Here is a 24,752-nt window from a genome sequence, read left to right as displayed (position 1 = left end):
TCCAAAGCCTCTTAAATTCCCTACATCCCTTTTAGTTGTGGTATCCTTGAATCCACATTTTTCAAAAAAAAAAAATATTGACTTGGGATTGAGCAATGCCATGGGTGATATAATTCTTAATTAGGCCTTACGAAGCTACTTTTGTAAACAATGAAAATTTCATTCCTGGCCTCTTATAGCAGTGAGGCTTTACAATGTCACAATGGATTTTCACTACCCTGCTCAACTACATCCTGCTGGTATAAGTAAAAGAAGACTAAGTGCTTAGCCAGAAGACTCCACCATAGAGTGTGGTTGCCAAACATGGAGGAATGCAATAGAAAATGTCCTCAAAAGTATCTAACAAAATCATGATAATGGAAGCCAGTGTAGATGAAAAGAAGTATTGGCCGGGCATGGTGGCTCGTGCCTGTAATCCCAGCAGTTTGGGAGGCCGAGGCAGGAGGATCACCTGATGTCGGGAGTTTGAGATCAGCCTGACCAACATGGTGAAACCCCGTCTTTACAAAAAAATACAAAATCAGCCGGGTGTGATAGTGCATGCCTGTAATCCCAGCTACTCGGGAGGCTGAGGCCAGACAATTGCTTGAACCCGGGAGAAAGAGGTTGTGGTGAGCCGAGATCATGCCTTTGCACTACAGCCTGGGCAACAAAAGTGAAACTCCATCTCAAAAAAAAAAAAAAAGAAGTATTTTATAGCTCTGCTTGCTGCCTGAATCCATTTTCTGCTGCTATAAGAGAACACCACAAACTTAATTTACAAGGGACACAAGCTCATTTGGCTCACAGTTCTGGAGGCTGGGAAGTACAAGTGCATGGCACTGACATCTGCTAAGGGTCATCCTGTGGCAGAAGGGTAGAAGTGAAAGCAAGCACATGAGACAGAGAGGAAACTGAGCCAAAATCACCCTTTAATAAGGAGCCCACTCATGCAATAACAAACTCACTCCCTCCATAACTGCATTAATCCATTCATGAGGGCCCTGTCTAATGAAAGTGCCTAAAGAGATACCTAATTACCTGTTAAAGATCCCACTTCTTAAAACTGTCACATTCACAATTAAATGTCAACATGAGTTTTGGTGGAGGCATTCAAACCATAGCATTCTGCACCTACCCTCCCCTCTCTGCCAAATTCACATCCTTCATACAATGCAAAATATATTCATTCCATCCTAGTAGGCTCAAAAGTCACTCCAGTATTAACTCTTAATACTGTTAGTTAATACTTATCTAAATCTAGTTAATCGAGTTATCTAGGTAATACTTATCTAAATCAAATATGGGTGTGACTTCATCCTGAAGGCAAATGTTCTGCAACCACGAGCCTGTGAAATCAAAATAAGCTATCTGCTTCCAAAATACAATGTGCGAAGGTATAGAAGAGACATTCCCATTCTAAAATGGGGAAATAGGCAAGAAAAGAGGGATAACTCATCTGAAACAAGTCCAAAACCCAACAGGGAGAACAATATTAAATCTTAAAGTTGGAGAATAATTTCCTTTCACTCCATATTCTGCATCCTGGGCACACTGGGTGGGGGTTGGACCCCTAAGGCCTCAGGCAGCTCAGCTCCCATAGCTTTCCTAGGCTCAGCCTATTCTTCAGCTGTCATGGGTTGGAGTCTCATGCCTGAAGCTTTTCCAGACTGCAGCTCTACACTGTTAACCATAATTCTAGGATTTTGGTGGCAACCCCATTTCCTTGGCTCCATGAGGCACCGCCCTGTTGGGGGCTCTCTGTGGTGGTTCTACCCCTGTGCAAAGTCTCTGCCTGTGCCCCAAATAAGTCAGCATCATCTTTTGAAATCAAAGTGGAGGAAGCCATGCCCCCTCAGCTCTTGTATTCTGTGAGACTGCAGGCTTAACACTACATGAATTTCACCAAGGCTTACCACCTGTATCTTGTGAAGCAGTGGGTCAAGCTGCAGCTGGGGCCACTTAAGCCATAGTTGGGGTGGCTGAAGACTGCTGCACCAAAATGTAGGGAGCCAAGTCCCAAGGCAGCCCTGGGCAGTATGCCCATGGAGAGCAACCAGGTGGGGCCTGGCACCCGAAACCATTCTGCCATCCTAGAACTCTGGGCCTGTGAAATAAAAGAGACTAAATCCCAGCCCTGTCCTCAAGGAGCTCACAGGGTAGGAATTGTTTGGAATCTTGTGATTGGATCTCACTGCAAGGTGACTGCTGACTCATGGCAGCACTGAAATCCTAGCAGGATGGTACTGCCCAGGGAAAATACATAGTGAGGTGAGCAAGTTAACGCAGGCAGGCATCTCTATAGTTTTCATTCTGGAGTGAAAACTGTCCCTTAGACTCGTAGTCACACAGTTGCCTCTGCTCTAGATTTTCCTTCTGCTTCAAATATTCTTCACCCAGATACTGTCGGGGCTCACACCATTGCTATTTCCCAAGCAAATCATTGCTTGTGAAAATAACTGTAAACATCTTACATTCTATACCAATATTATAGTTCTTCCCAGTGAGGAAAGATGATCTAACATACTTGATGTTTTGTTCTGCTTATTAACTTGTCTAATCACACATTTAAAATTAATTAAACATACAAGAATAAAAGATTTACAAGTATTGGTTTTCTGGGTTAAATGCATCATCCATTCATTCAAACCACTAGAAAAGACAAGCCGAGACTGAATAGAATATAGAGACTATAAGACAACATCACTTTCCTTGATTCATTTAGTAAATATTCACTGAATATTTATTATGGGCTAGGCATTTTTTATGACCTTGGAATACATCAATGATGGCAGAACACAATCTTGATTTCAGAAAGAAAGATGAACCATATAGAAAATGCACAAATAAGTTATTATAATTATGTATTTTATTAGAGAGTGAAAAATTATCTAGGAAAAAGGAAACAAGGTAAGAAGGGTGAGGTTGAAATTTTGGGTAGTCAGGGTAAAGATAGAAAGGGTGTGAGCCCCGGTGGTATCTCAGTGAAGACTATTTGAAGCAGAGGGAATAGCTAGGGCAGAGGCAACTGTGTGGCTATGAGTCTAAGGGACAGAAAAGAAGCCAGTGGAATGAGCAAGGGCAAGAGTAGTCTGAGATGAGGTCAGAAAGGTGGAGGAGAGGAGGACCTGAATCTGCTTGGGGTAGCAGTGGAGATAGATACATGTGGTTAGAGTCTGGAATCATTTTTTATGATAGGACTAATATAATTTCCAGACAGATTGCAGGGTACAGGAGGAAAAAGAGAATGAGAATGACTCTGAGTCTTTTCCTCTGAACACCTGAGAAGATGGAGCTGACATCAACTGAAAAAAGCAAGCCTTGGACACAGCTGATGCCTTGAGGAGAGGGGACAGGTCAGGAGTTTCAGTTCTGGACATGCTGAGTTTGAAAGGCTCATTAGATATGCACAAGGAAATATCAAATATGCCATTGGATACATAAATCTCGAGTTCAGGAATGTGTCTGAACTGGAAATAGATATGCAACTCATCAGAGTGCTCATGAGGGAGTGATGTAGGTAGAGAAAAGGACCAAAACCTGAGCATGGGATACTTCAGTATTAATTAGGTCAAGGATTATAAAAGAAGGACCAGGAAAGAAAAATCAAAAGGAATGACTACTGAATAAGGGGAAAATGAAGAGTATCATATTCTAGAAGTCAGTCAAGGGAAGTATATCCAGCAAAAGGGAATGATGGACACATCAAATGCACTGACAGGCCAAGCAAGACACAGTTTCAGCACTGACCAGTGGGCTTGGCAACCCGGAGGTCATGTCAGATGACTCTGACAATAGCACTTTTAGGGGTTAGATGGAGGCAGAAGCCTGCCTGGGATGGCTGACAAGAAAGTAGCAAGAAAAGGTTTTTAAGATGCTAGTGCAGGCAATGTTTTTAAGAATCCTGCTCCAAAAGGGAGGAAGGAAAGGGGGTTGTTGCAGGTGGTAAGTGGTGGAAATAACAACATGTTTGCATGCTGATGGGACTGACTTATTAGAGAGGGGGAATTAAGGATTTTGGAGGGGGTGGGAAGTGCCAGAGTAATGTTCTCTAATAAGCAAGTGAAGATGAGGATGTTAGCTCACCTCCAAGAGGGGGCGAGGGCTGAGTCATCTACTGTCACGGGAAGGAATGCTGAGTTATAAGGGGGATGGGGCTGGTAGGTAGGTGTAAGTTTTCTACTATTACTTCCATTTTCTCAGTGAATTAAAATAAAAAGACATGAGCAGAAAGTGAAGATTGGAGGAGGATGGGGACAGGAGGAGGATGGGGACAGGAGGAGGAGGAGAGGGAAGAGGACACACAAAATAGCCATTTAGGTAACTGGGAGAATAGTATGAGAGCCTGACCTTTTGAAGGATCAATGTTGTGAATGGTTGTGGAGTGAGATTAGTCATTAGGGTGGTATGTGTTTTCTCCAGCCACAGTAAGCTGAAAGGGAAAGAAAGCCTGGAATAGGTACAGAACTGGATTTAAACATGTTATGTGTATACCAAGCAAGTACAAGGAAGAGAGGGGCAAGGGATTTCAAACTATATGTAAGGGAGCGATTGGGAGATTTGTCCAGGAAATTTTACTTCATTTCTTTATGATAGGACTTCATAAAGGTAGTGTTACGTGAATCATACCTTGAAGGTTGGATATATTCTAGGCATGAGTGAAAGGAGAAAAACAGCATTGAGGCAGAAGGCAGAACCCAAGCAAGGCCATATGCAACCAAGTATAGTGTGTTTTCAGATGACTGTGAGCCATTTTCCTAACAGTATGAAAGTAGTGGTCAGTAAGACTCCACAAAACTGTCACCGTTGTTTAAAGCAGCAACTGGTTAACACTTTGTGTAGAGGGCCAGATAATGTTTTATGCTTTGCAAGTCTTGTAGACTTTGTTGCCAGTGATTAACTCATCCACTGTAGTGTAAGAGCAGCTATAGACAACACATAAACAAATGGGTATGGCTGTGTTCCAATACAACTTTATTTATAAAAACAGGTGGTTGATGGATTTGAATCACCAACCACCTGCTTTGATAAATAACTAGTCGGTTTTGATAAATAAACAGTTGGTTTGCCAGCTTTTGACCGCTACAGATCTCTTCAGTCCTAATTTAAGTACAGCTGAGAAAGTGATATCTTTAAACATCTCCAATCTTCCTATCATTAATCGCACTAAGACATTTTCAGCAATTGCTTTCAAACTGTTTTAAATTGACACCAATATGAGATTTTCAAATAAGAAATGTCCTCAAACTTAATCTGTATTCAATATCAAGGCTAAATAAGCCCCAATACAAACTATAATAACTTGGGTTACTATAATGATTTTTAAAAATTCATTCATACAAATATAAGACCTGAGGTTGGTATTAATTCTCTTATAAGGCTACACAATATGTTTATAAGGCCTATAAATTTCAGCTTATCAAAACAAAAAAAAATGATTAGGTAACTACTTCATACAAAGGTATATAAATATATGTATCTTTTTTAATGAAACACCTTTAAGTTCTTTGGAATGCTTAAAATAAGACAAATTGGTTAATTATATTGAAATGTTTCCAAAGCAAACAATAATCTATATAAATATTTTTTGAGCTGCCAGGGACAGAGGTAGCAGTAAGATTTGGACATCTTAGTTTCAATCACTATCAAAAAGCATTAATTAAACAGATAGTGGGTAAATATAGAAACACTATATTTAAACAATATATTTATATATAGAAATATATATTTAAACAATATTTAATATATATTTAAACAATATATTTATTTATAGAAATATATAAAATAAATATAGAAACACCTCAGGTAGCTTATTGTTTAAGGTAAACAAGGGATATTCATTTATGTAGCTGGAGGGGATATATGGTAGATCTCTTACCACTCTCTGATCATAGTTTTCTGTAGCACTATGTTCATGGGCTATTGTCACTTGGTGCAAATGTTTTTGAAAATGTTTGGTATAAATGTTTTTGAAAAATCCCAGCTAGTATAATTCTCCAGGGCAGGAACAATGGACAGCTTCCTCAGGGCAGCAAAAATATATTTAACCTACTGTCCGGAAACAATCAATGATATCTGTTCCTCTAGTCAGTTTTCAAAAGCACTTCATTCAAACACTCACTAAGGTGAAGAAATTATCCCAAACCATAGTACAGAAGAAGAAAAAGTTGGAAATTATCAGATAGATAGGTGTAGAAATTCCAACATAGTATCCAAAAGGAGTTCCATAAACAGACAGCAAAGAGACAACAGACAGAATGAAACAATCAAAACAGTCATAAAAGAAAAGTTTACAGAGCTGAAGTAGAACACAAGCTTTCACATTGACAGGGCATAAAAGGGATAATTGAAAAACACAGCAATTTTAAATTGAATTTCCTAATTCCAGGATAATGAAACACATGCTAATAGAAAGCTATTTAAGGACAAAAATCAGAATGAATCTGATCATGGTACTTACAAGACAAGAGAATTCATCTTCAAGGTTCTAAGTGAGAATGAGTTTGAACCTAGAAAGCTATTAGTATTTGAAAAGGAGGGCAAAAACATTCTTTCATAGCACATCTTAGAAAATATAAGACCCACAGAATGTCTATGAAATAATTAAGTAAAAAATGCATTCCAGATAAATTAAAAAGTTATTCAAAAAAGATGTGGGATATAAGTATGCAGAATTAGTAACATTTATATTTGAGTCTAAATAACTAATGGCAATTCATTAAAGTACATTTTTGACATCATTCATTTTGCAAAAATGTGAAATTCTTGTGGTCAGAAACCTTGTGTATCTTACTAGTTACTGTACCTACAACACCTATAAGCATGCTAAGCATATAAAAAGCACATATGACATAATTACTGGATTTGATTTTTAATTTGTTTATATTATAAACAGATTGTCCTTATTCTCACAACTATCAGCATCTTAGCTGCACTAGCTTCCCTAACCAGAAGGTGGCCCAGCCAGTCACTGTAATAAATACTATCCTAAATAGCACACTAATTTTACCCCACATTTCATCTTTCTGCTACATTCATCTCGCCAATTTCAAGTTCCAAACTGCTAAGTATTTCTGGAAAAACCATGCCAGTATAATTTCATAAGATGTAACTTGCAATGGGCTTTCTCTACATCCTGCTAATTATTTCTTGCTCTGTCTGACATTCTGTACCATACTTTTAAATAAACTTTATTGAGATACAATTTTAAGATAATAAAATATACACTTGTTTTAAGCATACAGTATACAGTTCTGATGACACTATACACTCATGAAATTACTACCACAACCATGATATAGAAAATATTTGTAATTATAAAAAATTATCTCATCCTCCTTTTCAGTCACTGTATCATCAGTCGCAATGCTAGGAAACTAGTGATTTAGCCATGTACTTTTACAAGTAGCAATGTGCAAGGAAAATCATGGATACTCTCCCTGGGGGAAATGGTGTAGGAAAAGGAAGAGGAGGAAGTAAACTCATACTCTGATGATTATTTTATTTGTGATAATTTGAAATACACTTATGCTAATTAATTGCAAAAAGTCAAGAGAAAATTTAACTATGAAAAAAAAACCCAAGCCAGACATGTATAATTTCCAAACCAAAATAAAATAAAATGAACAAACAAAACTCAAAGAATCTAACAGAAGGTTGTAATAGTAGTAGAGGTAGTGGGGACAGGCAGAAAGAGAGAAGAAAAAAAAGAAAGTGCAGTAAAAATATACAGAAAAAACAATGTGGCAGTAGTAAGTCTAAACATACCAGTAATCATTCACTCATGCAAGCAAAGATGTAAATAAACTATATTTCCTTACTAAGAGATGGATACTAACATTAGTTAAAAAGTAGACACAGAGATAAATTTTAAAATGAGTTTATAAGAAATGAAACAAAAATAAAATGATACGAAATGCTTAAAAATTACAAAAAAAAGATATGCCAAGTAAATATGACTGTAGTAACAAGAATAGAGAAAAAGTAGAACTCAAGTGAGAAGTACTAAACAATATAATGGATAATGCACATGGATAAAAGTTAAAACTCTCTGAGAATGTCCATTAACACTGGCTCTTGAACACCTCCCACCCCTAAGACCTAAGATTATACAGCTCAATGGTTTCTTGATACCAGACCCACTAATAGAGGGTATCCTGCCCCAGGGGCCAATAACTGTCTCCATTGCTGAGGCCCTGCAGTAATTCCACATTAACAGTAGACTGAATTTTTTAAAATGTGGTATATATACACCTTGGAATACTATGCAGTCATAAAAAGAAGGAAATCATATCCTTTGCAGCAGCTTGGATGCAGCTGGAAGCCATTATCATAGGCAAAATAATGATTTTTAGTGATTTTCTGTTGAAAATCAAATACTGCATCTTCTCACTTATAAGTTGGGGTAAACAGAAACTGGACACTGAGTTAGTGTGGGGGGAGGGTGGGAGGAGAACAAGGGTTGAAAAACTACTCATTGATTACTGTGCTCACTACCTGGGTGATGGCATCATTCATACACCAAACCTCAGCAACACACAATTCACCCATGTAACCAACCTGCACATATACACCCTGAACCTAAAATAAAAGTTGAGAAAATAAATAAATAAAACCCTCTCAGAAGATATAATAGTTATGAATGTTTATGTACCTAACAGTATAGCTTCAAATTATATAGAGAAAAATGAATATGAAAAATAAGTTATCAAATATTTTAACATAGTTTTTAGAAATTTAAACATATACAGAAATCAGTAAGGCTAGCATTGATATGCCAGTAAACTAGCTCTCAAAAAAAAAATCGTTGTTTTGTAGCATTTCCCAATTTTTGTTGTATAAAAACCTCACTATACTGACTTCAAAATACCAATGGCTTAAAAGCTGGCTCATAAAATTCCTAACTATTTAACCATTGGCCCTAATGAGCCAATTAGAGCTGGCTCCAGCAAACCAATGCCTAGGGCAAATTTTAAAAACACAATGAACAACCTTTTTATGTAGTATATATGTACATTTGATTAAACAGATTAGATACATGACATCCTACACCACAGTGATAGCGCATTAAAAATAAACATACAGAATATTTGTAAAAGGTCATCTATGACCTAGACCTAAAGTGTTTATGTCCTAGATCTAAAATAAAGTCTCAAACATTACACAAATCTGAATTCATACTTGTTACATTATATGATCACAAAACCAAAAAATTAATAGTATTGAACTATTAAATTGAATATTGAATTCTGAAAATTTCAATAATATTGAAATTTTTCAATATTGAAAATTTTCAATATTGAATAATATTGAAAATTTTCAATATTGAATAATATTGAAAATTTTCAATATTGAATAATATTGAATTACAAATTAATAATAAAAGAATAGCAAATAAAAAATCCCATCCACTTATAAACATAAAATTATCATTTAAAGTAATCCTGAATAAAAGAGGAAGTCAATCTGGAAATTGCACATAATTAAAATACCTGTCCAAGTGAAGTTAGAAAGATGACTGACTATAGTTACCTGGTGCTTGTTCCCCCAACTAAAAGGGATCAAAACAGTGAATAAACATCTATAATTTGACTGGAGTGACTGAGGAAGTATGCTGGAGAGCACCCTGGCAGTGGCAACATCCCTGTGAAGCACAGAAGGCGAGAATAGCACCATAGAGAGGAGAGCAAGTAATCCACTTCTGCCACAATGTCATCTTCACCAGAATTAGCTCAGAGTCAGGGAGACTTCTTCTTATGGGGTAAAGGTAAGCTCTAAATCCCCAGCAGTCCCAATTATTACCACACATGCCAGAAATCCTTGCTGCAGGAGAGTCTCCTGGTCCTTATAGGTTTTGAATCCAGTTTGGAGATTAGCCAGAAGTTTGTACAGCTGCACTGCCTCACAGTAGGAGCCCACCTTGAACACCTCCCACCCTTAAGGCCTAAGATGATAGAGCTCAATGGCTTCTTAAAACCAGACCCACTAGTAGGAGCCAATAGCAACTGACTGTCTCCATCCCTGAGGCCCTGCTCTCATTCCACTATGTTCACATGAATGCTTGCACCACCACAAACTCAGCTACCTAGAGCATAGGCATGTCATAATGACCAAGACCCCAGTGTCCAAACTCACATGGCACACCACTATCTCAGGGAACAGGCAGATATGCACAGCAGGGAAGCTTCCAAACAGCCACTAGCCATGTTACCAACACATACCTGTGCTTCACAGCCAGCAAGCACTCTGAGCATGTATGTGCCTGCACCCAGCCTGGCAAGTGGTCATGTGGCAACCTACTCCCATGAAAGGCCACTGCAGAGCTGCATGGCCTTGCTGCACCCACAAACATTCACATGCAGCCCGACATCCAGTCCTGCAGCAGCTCTGCCTCTCCAACAGACTGCCACAGGGATGCTTGGCATTGCTGTGCTCATCTAGTTTGGTGGCTGCCCTGCCTCACTGAAAAGAAAGCCACACAGCCACCTTGCTGGCAGCATCTCTGTAAGCTCAAGCCTGGCCCAACAGCCAGCACAGCAGTAGCCACTGACTCTCTGGAGAGGTAGCCAGACAGCTTGTCAGCTCTCTGTGCCCCCACATGCCCAACCTGAAAACCAACCCAGTGCTCCCACCCCAAGAAAACTATGCCACTACCTCAAAAGCTCTCACAGCGTAGACCACTGAGTCAATCACAGACACCACTGATGAGTATTACAGCCAAAGAAACTGCACAGATACCGTGCTACTGAGTCCACCCAGAATCAAAGCCATTCACCATGCTGAACTTATACCCTAGGATTTATCTACAGGAAATGTCTCTCCCTGAAAAAGCTACTCCATAAAATTGGAAACAAAAACTATTCTACTATATGAACAAGTATCAATGCAGAGACAAAGGAAATATAATAAAAGCAAGAAAACATGATACCCCCAAAGGAACACAATAAATCCTAGTAGAAGACCCCAAGTAAAATGATACTTATGAAATGCCTAAAAAATAATTAAAAATTATGATCTTTAAAAAGCTCAGTGAGATACAATAGAACACAGACAAACAATCAATAATTGGAATGAGAAATGCATAATATATAAATATAATTTTAAAAGAACCAAACAGAAATCTGGGAGCTGAAAAATTTGATAAATGAAAATTTAAAAAATACAAGTGAAATTTTTAACAATAGACTAGATCTTTCATGAAGGAATTTCTGAACTAGAAAACAGGCGTTTGAAATAACCCAGTCAGAGGAAAAACACAGAAATAAGAACAAAAGAGAATGAAGAAAGCCTACAGAATACATGGGATACAATTAGGCAAACAAATATTCACATTATAGGAATGCCAGAGGAAGAAGAAATTTTTTTAAAGGCATAGGAAATGTATTTAAGAAATAATAGCTTTAGGCTTCCCAAGTATTCAGAGATACAAACATCTAGATTCAGGAAGCTGAAAAGTCCCTAATTAAATTGAACCCCAAAAGATCCTTTCTGAGGCACATGATTATCAAACTGTCAGCAGTCAAAGACAAAGAATTCTAAAAGCTGCAAGACAAATGTATTAACTCACATACAAAAGGATCTCTATTAGACTATCAGATTTTTCAGCAGACTAGGAGAGAATGGCATGACATATTCAAAGTGCTGAAAATTAAAAAAAAAAAAATCAGCCAAGAACACTATATTCAGCAAAGCTATCCTTCAAAAATGAAGGAGAAATGAAGACATTCCCAGACAAACAAACACTGACGGGATTCATCACCACTTAACTGATCTTACAAGAAATGCTTAAAGGAGTGGTACAATTGGAAATGAAAGGCTCATTATTACTATAATAAAAACGTGTGAAAATATAAAGCTCACCAGTATAGGTAAATTCATAAATCAAACTCAGAATATCCTAGCGCTGTAATGTTATGCAAATCTTTTAATCCTCTAGTATGAAGGTTTAAATCAAAACGGTCAAAAATTACAACAGCTACATAATGGGTAAAGAAGTAAATTAAGGAAACAAATATATAAATAGTAAAGAAAAGAGAAAACATCTGGAGTATTTTTATGTGAACAAAATTAAGTTGCTATCAGATTTAAATAAACCATCAGTACCCTTTATCCTTATAATAACCACAAAGAAAGATATAACACATATACAAACAAGAAGGAGAAAAGAAACCAAGCTTAGTAACACATAAAACCACCAAACCACAGAGATAAACAATAAAAGAGGAAGAAAGGAACAAAACATTTACGAAATAACCATAACCAGAAAGTAATTTTTTTAATGTTAGGAGTAAGTTATTATCTATCAATAATAACCTTGAATATAAGTGGACTAAATTCTCCAGTTAAAAGATAGAGAGTGGCTGAATGAATTTTTAAAAGGAACCAACTATATGCTGCCAACAAGCATAACACAGACTGAAAGTGGAGGGATAGAAGAAGATATTCCATGCAAACAGAAACAAAAAGCAAGCAGAAATAGCCATACTTATATCAGATAAAATAGGCATCAAGTCAAAAACTGTAAAAAGAGGTAAAGAAGGTCATTATATAAAAATAAAGAAATCAATTCAATAAGAGGATGTAACAATTATAAATATTTATGCACCCAACACCAGAGCACCCAGATATCTAAAGCAAATATTATTAGACCTAACAGGAGAAACAGAGGGCAATACAATAATAGTAGAGGGCTTCAATATACCACTTTCAACAATGAACAGATCATCTAGACAAAAAATCAACAAAGAAACATTGGACTTAAATTATACCATAGACCAAATGGCCCTAACAGACATTTATAGAACACTGCATCCGACAGAGTACACATTCTTCTCACCTGCATATGGAACATTTTTTAGGATAGATCACATGTTAGGCCACAAAACAAGTCTTAAAATTTTTAAGAAGATAGAGATCATATCAAGTATCTTTCCTAACCATAATGCAATAAAACTAGAAATCAATACTAAAATAAAAACTTCAGAAAATTTAAAAATACATAGAAATTAAACAACTTTTTCTTAAATAACCAATGGGTCAATGAGGGAAGTAAAAGTGAAAAAAAATTTCCCTCAGACAAACAAGAATGGAAACACATCATATCAAAACCTATGCGACATAGTGAAAGAAACTCTGAGAGGGAAGTTTAAAATAGTAAATGCCTACACCAAAAAAGAAGAAAGATTTCTAGTAGACAATCCAATGATTCACCTCAAGGAACTAAAAATAATAAGAACAAACTAAACCCAAAATTGGTAGAAGGAAGGACAGAAATAATACAATTCAAAACATAAACAAATAAAATACAGACAAAAAAATGAATTCATATAAAAACCAAAACAAAGATTTGGCTTTTTAAAAAGATAAAAATCAACAAACCTTTACCTATGGTAAAAAACAAGTGAGAGATTCAAATAAATAAAATAAGAGATGAAAAATGAGACATAACAACTGATACTACAAAAATACAAAGGATCATGAGAGACTATTATGAATAAGTATACACCAAAATAATTGATGACATGGAAGAAATGAATAAATTTCTGGACACATATGACCTATCAAAATTAAAATAGAAAATCCACCAAGAAATAGAAAATCTGAACAGACTGATAATGAGTAAAGAAATTAATAACAATTAATATAAATTATTATTTATTATTATCACTAATAAGTCTTCCATCATCAAAGAAAAGACCAGGACCTGAAAGCTTCACTGCTGAATTCCACCAAATATATAAAGTACTAACACCAATTCTCCTCAAACTACTGAAGAAAATTGAAGATGGGAGAATACTTTTAAACTTATTTTATAATGCCTGCATTAATCCGATTCCAAAACCAGACAAGGATACAACAAAAACATAAAACTATAGGTCAATATTGATGAGGAATATAGACACAAGATTCTTAACAAGACAGTAGCAAACTGAATCCAACAGCATATTAAAAAAATCATTTAGTATGATTAAGTGGGATTCATCCCAGAGATGCAAGCATGGTAAGCATGGTATAACAAGCTAATCAATAAATATGGTACAACACATTAACAGGAAGAAAAACAAAATCCAGATGATAATATGCAGAAAAGCATTTGAAAAACTTCAACATTCCTTCATGTGAAGAACTCTCAAAAAATTAGACATAGAAGGAATGTATCTCAGTAGGTCATATATGACAAAACAACAGCTAACATCATACTGAAGGGGGAATTGCTGAAAGCTTTTCTTCTAAGATTAAAGACAAGACAAGGATGCCTATCCATGACTTCTATTCAACATAGTACTGGAAATCTTACCCAGGACAATTAGGCCAGATAAATAAAAGGCATCCAAATTGGAAAGGAGGAAGTCAAATTGTCCCAGTTTGCAGATGATAAAACTTTATATATTAAAAACCCTAAAGAATTCATCAAAAAACTTTTAAAATTAACAAATTCAGTAAAGTTGCAGGACAGAAAAACAACATTTAAAAATCACCAGCATTTCTATACACCAATAATGAATTAGCTAAAATGGAAATCAAAAAGGGATCCTATTTACAATGGCTACAAAAAATTAAAAAAATCGAATACCTAGAAATAAACTTAACCAAGGAAGTGAATGATCTATACACCTTTTTTTTTTTTTTTTTTCAAGATAGCAGATAGGAGGCAGTGTTAGCATGCCTCTCCCACTGGGAAAACTGGAAAAATCCACAGACCTTTTGAAAGAAGTGATAGGCTGCAGCCTACTCCATGAGATAGGAAAAAAAATAAAAGTTCCCAGAGTATGAGACGGGGAGATTCTACCTTTGAGCACATATCCCCACTAAGGAATCTGAAAATCCAGGCCACAGGAGAAGGCCTTAATGCTACCAAGAGCTGGAACAAATTTAGGGAGCCTCGTGAAAATAAAAGTAGAAGCAGTCGCAGGAAGTGCCTTGCAGGTATTCTGAGTCTCTAGTATGAACCAAGGAAAGCCATTCCTGACTATATCTCACAGGAGCCCTCAAGAAAGTTAGCCAATGAGCTCAGGGAGGGGTCACAGGGTAAAAGAAGCTCCCAGCTGAATTTGTGATATAATTTTGAGTAGGGATGTACACCCATCAACAGAACTTGGTGGCGAGTGGGAAGAGCACTGCTGACCAGCCTTGAGGGCAGACGAGAGGAGGAGGGATGTGACCCAAAAGTCATGCTTGCTATTTCTGCAGGGAAGCTTATGGCCTCAGGCAGGTCTGAGTTCTGTGCATATGTTATGTGGACCTAAACCTGGTGCTGATAGCAGGACACTTCAGGAGTGAGATTGGCCTTGCCAACTGCAAGGAGCTGGATGAGGCTTACTGCTGCCGGCTACTCCCCACTCCCTTTGTGAAATCTTCTGCATAGCAGAGGCAGTTATACTCACCTCTGGATCATTACCCTAGTGGCCTGCAAACCACCCCATGCCTCTTACAGTGGCTGCGGCAGGCCCCACCCAAGGGGAGTCTGAGCTCAGACCCACCTAACCCTGCCCTCACCTGGTGATATTTCTCCACTCATCCTAGTAGATGAACACAAATAACATAAACTTTTGGGAGCTCTACAGCCCTGTCCATCACCTAAGAAACCAGAATAATTCCCCTGGGCAACTTAAAGCAAGCTCAAATCCCACTGCTGCTACTGCAGCTGATGCTGTCTTGCAAGCGCCACCTCCTGGCTGGAGGCCAGCCAACTCAGGCCATCACAATACCTCTCAGCAGAATATCACTGCTCTCAGGAAGGAGAAAACAGCTGTGGGATCTCAGCTTACACCACTGCCTGCAATACCCTGGCTATCCAGGGGTCCTGAGTCTGTCCACATGACAAGTTCACTATTAGTATAACCAGCATTCAAGAAAGCCAGCACACTAAGCCTATTGACAACCAAGGAATCTCAGTCTACGTCACTCCCCTGCCACCTCCATTCAAAGCAGGTGCTGGTATCCATTGCTGGGAGACTTGAAAAAAGGTCACATCACTGGATCCTTTGCAGACATTCTCCATCACCAGCCCAGAGTCTGGTAGCCCTACTGGGTGGCTAGACCCAGAAGATCAATAGTAATCACTGCAGTACAGCTCTCAAGAAGTCCCATTTTTAGGGGAAGGGAGAGAACACCATATCAAGAGAACACCCCATGGAACAAAAGAGTGTGAACAGCAGGCTTGAGTCCCAGATCTTTCCACTGGTGGAATGTTTCTTTCAGCAGTGACCCAAGTGCAGAGCTGGGCACAATAGAGAAAGTCAGCACCTCTACCCCAACAGGCAGGCAGCCTCTGTGATCATGAAGGGTCTTGGAGAAGAGATCCTTGTTCAACCCTGGTACATCACTGCGGACACAACTGGAGTTTCTATCACAAGAATGCAGTGTATATGCGTCTATAGACAGCCTTCCTGGAACCATTCATGGTGATTGCAGCCCAACAGGGGGAGTACTCTCCATATTCAGGCCTGCATAAGAGGCAAGGTCACAATTCCCCGCTACTTGGAGCATCAACATTCCTACACATGAAAAGAGGTGCCCGTATGATCTGAATAGCCAGAACACTGGTACAGGAGTGAGGCTATGAGGTGGATAACTTTTCTGTTGGCCTGGCAGGGGAACTGAGGTAGCTCACACCCTTCATCCTGGTACAACCTCAGGACATCTAATTGAGAACTCCCTTAGCCACCTTCATCAAGGCTGGGATCCCTGCCCACCACTGAGGATTACATGTACCCACCTGCCTTAGCTACAACCAGTGACTACCAAGGGCTACCTCTCCTATTGGACTGAAGCCTGAATCATCAACTCAGTAAATAAAATACTGGAGTAAAGTTAAATAAATAAAGTATACATCACAAGAGAATGAGACAAACTTCAAGAGATCCCTGCCATTCCAACTCCATAGGAGACAGTGAACTTGCCCACACAACAAGTACATAACTACTACAAACAACATTTGGAAAAACCAACACACAACGTCTCTCTATAACTAAGGAACTCATACAAAGTCTTCACCCTAAAAGCACCAAGAATTAAATTAGGCTAAAATAAAATATAAACATTAAAGTCAGATCCTTAAGAGGGAAAAAATAAAAAAAAAAAACCTCAGTCCCATCAAAAATAAATTCAAGAACAATTTAAAGAAATAGTCTACCCAAATGAGAAGGAACTAGGAAAGTAATTCTGGTAATATGACAAAACAAGGTTCTATAACACCCCCAAAAGATCACATTAGCTCCCAGCAATGGATCCAAACCAAGAAATCTCTGAAATGCCAGATAAAGAATTCAGAAGGTTGACTATTCAGCTAGTCAAGGAGATACCAGAGAAGGTGAAAAGCAACTTAAAGAAATTTCAAAAATAATCCAGAATATGGATGAAAATTTTTCTAGAGAAATAGATATCATTAAAAAAATCAGAACTTCTCGAAATGAAAGACATGCCATGGAAATACAAAATGCAGTGGAAAGTTTCAACAATAGACTAGAACAAATAGAAGAATGAATTTCAGAGCTCAAAGACAAGGCTTTCAAATTAACCCAATCAGACAAAGACAAAAACAATTTTTCTTTAATGAACAAAGTCTCCAAGAAATATGGGATTATGTAAAATGGTCAAACCTAAGAATAAATCGTGCTCTGGATGGAGAACAGAAGTATAAAAGTTTGAAAAACTTATGTGAGGGAATAATTGAGGAAAACTTTCTTGGCCTTGTTAGAGATCTAGACCTGCAAATACAAGAAGCTTTAAAAACTCCTGGGAAATTAATTGCACAAAGACCATCACTAAGGCACATCATCATCAAGCTATCTAAAGTCAAGACAAAGGAAAGAATCTTAAGAACTGTGAGAAAAAAGCATCAGGCAACCTATAAAGTCAAACCTATCAGATTAACAGCAGATCTCTCATCAGAAACCTTGCAAGCCAGAAGGGATTGGGGCCCTATATTTAAACCTTCTTAAACAAAAAAGTTGTCAGCTAAGACTTTTTTTATCCAGCAAAACTAAGCTTCATAAATGAAGGAGAGGGAAAGTATTTTTCAGACAAACAAACACTGAGGGAATTTGCCCCTACCAACCCAGCACTACAAGAAATCCTAAAAGAAGTTCTAAATCTTAAAACAAAAGTTCAATATACACCAAAATAGAACCTCCTTAAAGAATAAATCTCAGCCAGGCACAGTGGCTCACTCCTATAATCCCAGCACTTTGAGGGGCTGAGGCAGATGGATCACCTGAGGTCAGGAGCTCGAGACTGGCCTGGCCAACATGGTGACACCCTATCTGTACTAAAAATACAAAAATTAGCCAGGCATGGTGGTGGGTGCTTGTAATCCCAGCTACTCAGGAGACTGAGGCAGGAGAATCGCCTGAACCCGGGAGATGGGGATTGCAGTGAGCCGAGACCACACCATTGCACCTCAGCCTGTGCGACAAGAGGGTAACTCCATCTCAAAATAAATAAATAAATCTCATAGGGTATATAAAACAATAACACAATAAAAAAGAAAGTATCTAGGAAACAACTAACATGATGAATAGAACAGTACTTCACATCTCAATATTAATGATGAATGTAAATGGCTCCACTTAAAACATACAGAATAGCAGAATGGATAAAACAGCCACTAACCAAATATCTGTTGTCTTCAAGAGATGCACCTAACACATAAGGACTCAAATAAACTTAAGGGAAACAGGTGGAAAAAGATATTCCATGCAAGTGGAAACAAAAAACAAGAGTAGCTATTTTTACATCAGACAAAACAGACTTTAAAGCAACAACAGTAAAACAAGACAAAGAAGGACATTATATACTGATAAAAGATTAGTCCAACAGAAAGATGCTACAATCCTAAATTTATATGCACCTAACAATGGAGCTCCCAAATTTATAAAACAATACCTACTAAACCTAAGAAATGAGATATACAGCAATATAATAATAGTGGGGGACTTCAATACTCCTCTGACAGCGCTAGGTCGATCATGAAGTTAGAAAGTCAACAAAGAAATAATGGACTTAAGCTATACCATAGAACAAATGGACTTAGCAGATATTTACAGAAAGTTCTTCCCAACAACCACAGAATATACATTCTTCTCATCAGCACATGGAGCATTCTACAAGATAGACCATATGATAAACCACAAAATCATTCTCATTAAATTTAAGAAAATCAAAATCATATCAAGTATCTTCTCAGACCACAGTAGAATAAAACTGGAAATCAATTCCAAAAGGAACCCTCAGGACTTTATAAATACATGGAAATTTAATAATCTGCTCTTGAATGATTTTTGGCTTAACAATAAAATCAAGATGGAAATTTTAAAATCCTTTGAAAGGAATGATAATAGTGGCACAACTTATCAAAACCTCTGGGATACAGCAAAAGCAGTGCTAAGAAGAAAGTTAATAGCATTAAATGCCTACATGAAAAAGTGAAAAAGCACAAATAAACAACCTAATATCACACCTCAAGGAACTTAAGAGACAGGAACAAACTAAACCCAAACATAGCAGAAGAAAAAAAATAACAAAGATCCGAGCAGAACTAAATGAAAATGAAAGAAAAAAATACAAAAGATAAATGAAACAAAAAGCTGGTTCTTTGAAAAAATAAACAAAATGGATAGACCATTAGTACGATTAACCAAGAAGAGAGACGATTCAATTAAGCTCAATTAGAAATGAAACAAGAGATATTACAACCAATACCACAGAAATACAAAAGATCATTCAGGGCTACTATGGACAACTTTATGCATACAAACAAGAAAACCTACAGGAAATTGATAAATTCCTGAAAATATACAACCCTCCTAGATTAAATCAGGGAGAAATAGAAACCCTGAGCAGACCAATAACTAACAGCCAGGTTGAATCAGTAATAAAAAAAGCTGCCAACAAAAAAAAAAGTCCAGGACCAGATGGATTCACAGCTGAATTCTATCAGACATTCAAAGAAGAATTGGTACCAATCCTACTAAAACTATTCCAAAAGATAAAGAGAGAATCCTCCCTAAATCATTCTATAACGCCAGTATCACCCTAATACCAAAACCCAGAAAGAACAAAACAAAAAAAGAAAACCACAGAACAATATCCCTGTTAAACATAGATACAAAAATCCTTCATAAAATACTAGCTAACCAAATTGAACAGCATATCAAAAAGATAATACATCATGATCAAGTGAATTTCATACCAGAGTTGCAGGGATGGTTTAACACATGCAAGTCAATAAATATGATACATCACATAAACATAGTTGAAAACAAAAACCATATGATCATCTCAATAGACACAGAAAAAGCATTTGATATAATCCAGCATCCCTTTATAATTAAAACCCTGAACAAAATAGGCATAAAAAGGACTTACTTCAAAGTAATAAAAGCTATATATGACAAACCCACAGGCAACATAATACTGAATGGAAAAGCATTGAGAGCATTCCCCCTGAGAACTGGAACAAGACAAGGATGCTCACTTTCACCATTTCTATTTAACATAGTACTGGAAGTCCTGACCAGAGCAATCAGACAAGAGAAAGAAATAAAGGGCATCCAAATTGGTAAAGAAGACATCGATTGAATTGTCATTCGACCCCTTTTATAATAGCTGAAAAAAAAATAAAGGAATATACCTAACTAAGGAGGTGAAAGACCTCTACAAGGAAAACTACAAAACACTGCTGAAAGAAATATAGATGACACAAACAAACGGAAACAGGTCCCATGCTCATGGATGGGTAGAATCAATATTGTGAAAATGACCATATTGCCAAAAGCAATCTGGTCATTCAATGCAATTCCCATCAAAATACCATCATTATTCTTCACGGAACTAGAAAAAACAATCCTAAAATTCATATGGAACCAAAAAGGAACCCACATAGCAAAAGCAAGACTAAGCAAAAAGAACAAATCTGGAGGCATCACATTATCTGACTTCAAATCACACTTCGAGGATATAGTTACCAAAACAGCATAGTACTGGAATGAAAATAGGCATGTAGACCAATGGAACAGACTAGAGAACCCAGAAATAAAGCCAAATAGTTACAGCAATCTGATCTTTGTCAAAGTTTACAAAAACATAAATTGGGGAAAGAACATCCTACTCAATAAATAGTGCTGGGAAAACTGACAAACCACATATAGAGGGATGAAACTGGATCCTCATCTCTCGCCTTATACAAAAATCAACTCAAGATGGATCAAAGACTTAAATCTAAGAGCTGAAAGCATACAAATTCTGGAAGACAACATTGGGAAAACTTCTAGACATTGGCTTAGGCAAAGAATTTATGACTAAGACCCCAAAAGCAAATGCGACAAAAACAAAAATAAATAAATGGAACCTCATTAAACTAAAAAGCTTCTGCACAGCAAGAGAAATAATCAGCAGAGTAAATGGACAACCCACAAATTGGGAGAAAATATTTGCAAACTATGTACTGACAAAAGACTAATATTCATAACGTACAAGGACCTCAAATAAATCAGCAAGAAAAAAACAAATAATCACATCAAAAAGTGGGCAAAGGACAAAAATAAATAATTCCCAAAAGAAGATATACAAATGGCCAGCAAACATATGAAAAAATGCTCAACATCACTAATCATCAGGGAAATGCAAATTAAAACCACAATGAGATACCACCTTACACCTTACTAATGAACTTATCATTGTAACCAAAAACCAGTTACCAAAAATCTATTGAAATAAAAATAGAAAGTAATAAAATTCCATACACTAAGACCTATAAACCTTTTCTGAACGAATGTGAAGACACTGAAAAAATGGAAAGCTATCCAGTGTTCATGAAGTAGAAGAATTCATATTGTTAAAATGACCATACTATCCAAAGCAACCTACAGATTTAATGGAATACGTATCAAAATACCAATGATATTTTTCACATAAATATAAAAGAAATTCTAAAATTCATGTGGAACTACTAAACACCCCAAATAGCCAAAGGAATTCAGAGCAAAAAGAATATTGTAGGAGGTTCTTCATACTACCTGAAATATGCTACAAAGCTCTAGTAACCAAAACAGCATGATACTGGCATAAAAAACAGACTCATAGACCAATTTAACAGCGTAGAAAACCCAGAAATAAGTTCACATGCCTACAGCGGATATTCAACAAGGGTGCCAAGAATATATATTGGGTAAAAGACAGTCTTTCAATAAATGGTGCTGGAAAATTGCATCATCACATGCAGAAAAATAAGACTAGACTATATGCAAAAGTCAAATCAAAATGAATTAAATACTTAAATGTAAAGCCTAAAACTGTGAAACTACCAGAAGAAAATATAGGGGAAATGTTTCATGACATTTGGCTTGGCAAAGATAATTTTTAAATAACTTCAAAATCATAGGCAGCAAAAGCAAAAATAGGAAAATGAGATTATATCAAATGAAAAAGCTTTTGAACAGCAAAGGAAACTATTAACAGAGTGAAGAGATAACATACAGAAAAGGAGAAAATATTAATATTTACAAACTACCCATCTGAATATATAGTGTATATATCCTGAATATATAGTGAATTTAAACAACTCAAATTTGAAGAAACAATACAACTTGAAAAATGGGCAAAAGTCTCTAATTATCAAAAAGACAAAACAAGTGTTAGTAAGGGTGTGAAGAGAGGCCACAACTTATGCACTGTTGGTTAGATTGTTAACTAGCACAGCCATTAGAGAAAACAGTATAGAGGTTCCTCAAACAATTAAAAACAGAACTACCATAGGATCCAGCAATCCAACTAATGGGTATACATCCAAAGAAAATGAAATAAATATATCAAAGAGATATCTGAAATCCCATGTTTATCGCAGCACTATTTCCAAGACCCAAAATGTGGAAACAACCTTAAGTCTCCAACTAAATGAATGGATAAATACAATGTGATATATATTCACAATGGAATGCTATTTAGTCATAAAAAGAATGAAGTGTTGTCATTTATGAGAACATGTGAACTTGTAGGACATCATGTTAAGTGAAATAAGCCAGACACAGAAAGACAAGTACTACATAATCTCACTCATATGTGGAATCTTAAAAAAAAAAAAAAAAAAAAAAAAAAAAGGTATCATAGAAGCAGAGCAGAAGAGAGACTAGGGAGAAGAGGCTTAGAAGGATTGGGAGAAGTTGGCCAAAGAGTATAAAGTTAAAATTAGATAGGGGTGGCTGCCATCAGGTAAGAACCTGGGACTTAATTGGGAAACCCATTTAAAGCATGTTGAGAGTGGGGAGAAGATAAATTGGGTTAAATTTTAAAAAGCACACCAGGGCTACCATATTGAGGAACTATTTGTGTGGACAAGCATGGGCACAGGGAGACAAATTGGAAGGTGCTACAGTAATCCAAAGTAAATAGTAATGGACATGGAGAGAGGGGTATATTCTGATGGTGTAGGATTTGCTGATTAATTAGATATTACATTTGAAATGGAAGCCTAAAGGATGGCTCTGAAGGTTTTGGCTTGAGATACCAAAAGAGCAGGGCTGCCATCTATTAAGATGGGTGAAACCATGGAAGTACCAGGTCTGTGGGAAAAGTCCAGAGTTTTTTGAAAGTCTCATGCCTCTTAGATATCCAATTTTATCAAGATGTTGAGAAGGGGGCTGTATTTCAGGATAGAGGTCCAGGCTGGAGTTATAAATTTGAAATACACCTGCCTATTGATGATTTGCAGGGCCTCAAGGCTGGATGAGATCACCTAGCAAAGGAAGGAGGAAAAAGACGGTCTAAGAATTGAGCCCTGGGCTTCTCCAGTTATTTCTATTGCAGGCCTTCCATGATCTTAAATATAAGCATGTACCACCTCCCTTGCAACCAGATTCAACAGCACTGCCTCTTTTTTCCTTCATTGAAATTACTTGATAAAGTATCTGACCTGGTTAAGCTCACCTCTCTGCCTGCTGTGACCTTACCCCTGCATCAGACTGTACCTGGAGAAATACCATATATTGAATGGTGAAGCTCACTTTCAATTCATGATCTCTAACCTCAAGAGAACCAACCCTTAATAATGCCCAGCTATTTTATTACATTTAATAGTCCAGTAATTTTCTCAGGTGACTATCGCTCTGCTTCTCTTTTTTCCTTAAACCAATACTCTCCACGTTCACGTGTGGATGATCACTTGCTTATTTCACCTAGAAAACAGGACTCACCAGAGGACTTCCACATCTTCCATCTCCTTGTATCTGTGTCCATCTGCTCTGTTTTCCCTTTACAACCATAGATAAACTGTGCCACTACCTAAGGTAAAACCATCCATTGGTGCAGTAAATACTTGCCTTTTTAAACTTTCTCAACACCATTGTTCCATTAATTGAACCCACTGTCTCCCACATCACCAGTTTTTCTGACACTGCTGGATCATTCATATCAGTAATACCTATATACAATTATTTCTCTCATATAGAAAAACTCTTGACCTCACCAATTCTTCCAACTACTGCCTAAGCTTTCTGTCTTCAGTACAATCAAAAAACTCTTAAAAATAGTCTATATGTGCTACCTCCTTCCTCTCCTCCCAGAATTTTCTTCCTTCCAGAGTAGTGCCTGGAACAGAGTATGGGCTCACTAATTTTTTTTGTTTCAAATGACTAATGAAATTGTCTTATTTATCCAACAAATGTGTATCTAAATCATTTAATACTGATTTGTTATTCTTGTTTTCCCACTATCTAGAAGTATCTTTCATACAATTACCACTCAATAAATATTTACTGTATAAATAAATCATAAATTCA

At 37.0% G+C, this 24,752-nt stretch overlaps 1 protein-coding gene across 3 annotated transcripts in view, besides 1 other annotated feature; it reads right to left on the bottom strand.

The window, feature by feature from the left end:
- The window catches only part of IL15 (interleukin 15), a 97,405-nt gene that overhangs the window by 15,640 nt on the left and 57,013 nt on the right, over positions 1-24,752 (bottom strand). The gene's annotated exons all lie outside the window — the stretch shown is intronic.
- Positions 10,305-10,805: an enhancer, noted in NCBI's record as "H3K4me1 hESC enhancer chr4:142628696-142629196 (GRCh37/hg19 assembly coordinates)". NCBI's record gives its function as "activates a minimal SCP1, AML or CMV promoter by ChIP-STARR-seq in primed H9 embryonic stem cells {active_cell/tissue: H9 hESC(primed)}" and the evidence as "EXISTENCE:reporter gene assay evidence [ECO:0000049][PMID:30033119]".

Source organism: Homo sapiens, chromosome 4, assembly GCF_000001405.40.
Source record: "Homo sapiens chromosome 4, GRCh38.p14 Primary Assembly".
Taxonomy (NCBI): domain Eukaryota; kingdom Metazoa; phylum Chordata; class Mammalia; order Primates; family Hominidae; genus Homo; species Homo sapiens.
This window is presented reverse-complemented; position numbering and strand designations above follow the sequence as displayed.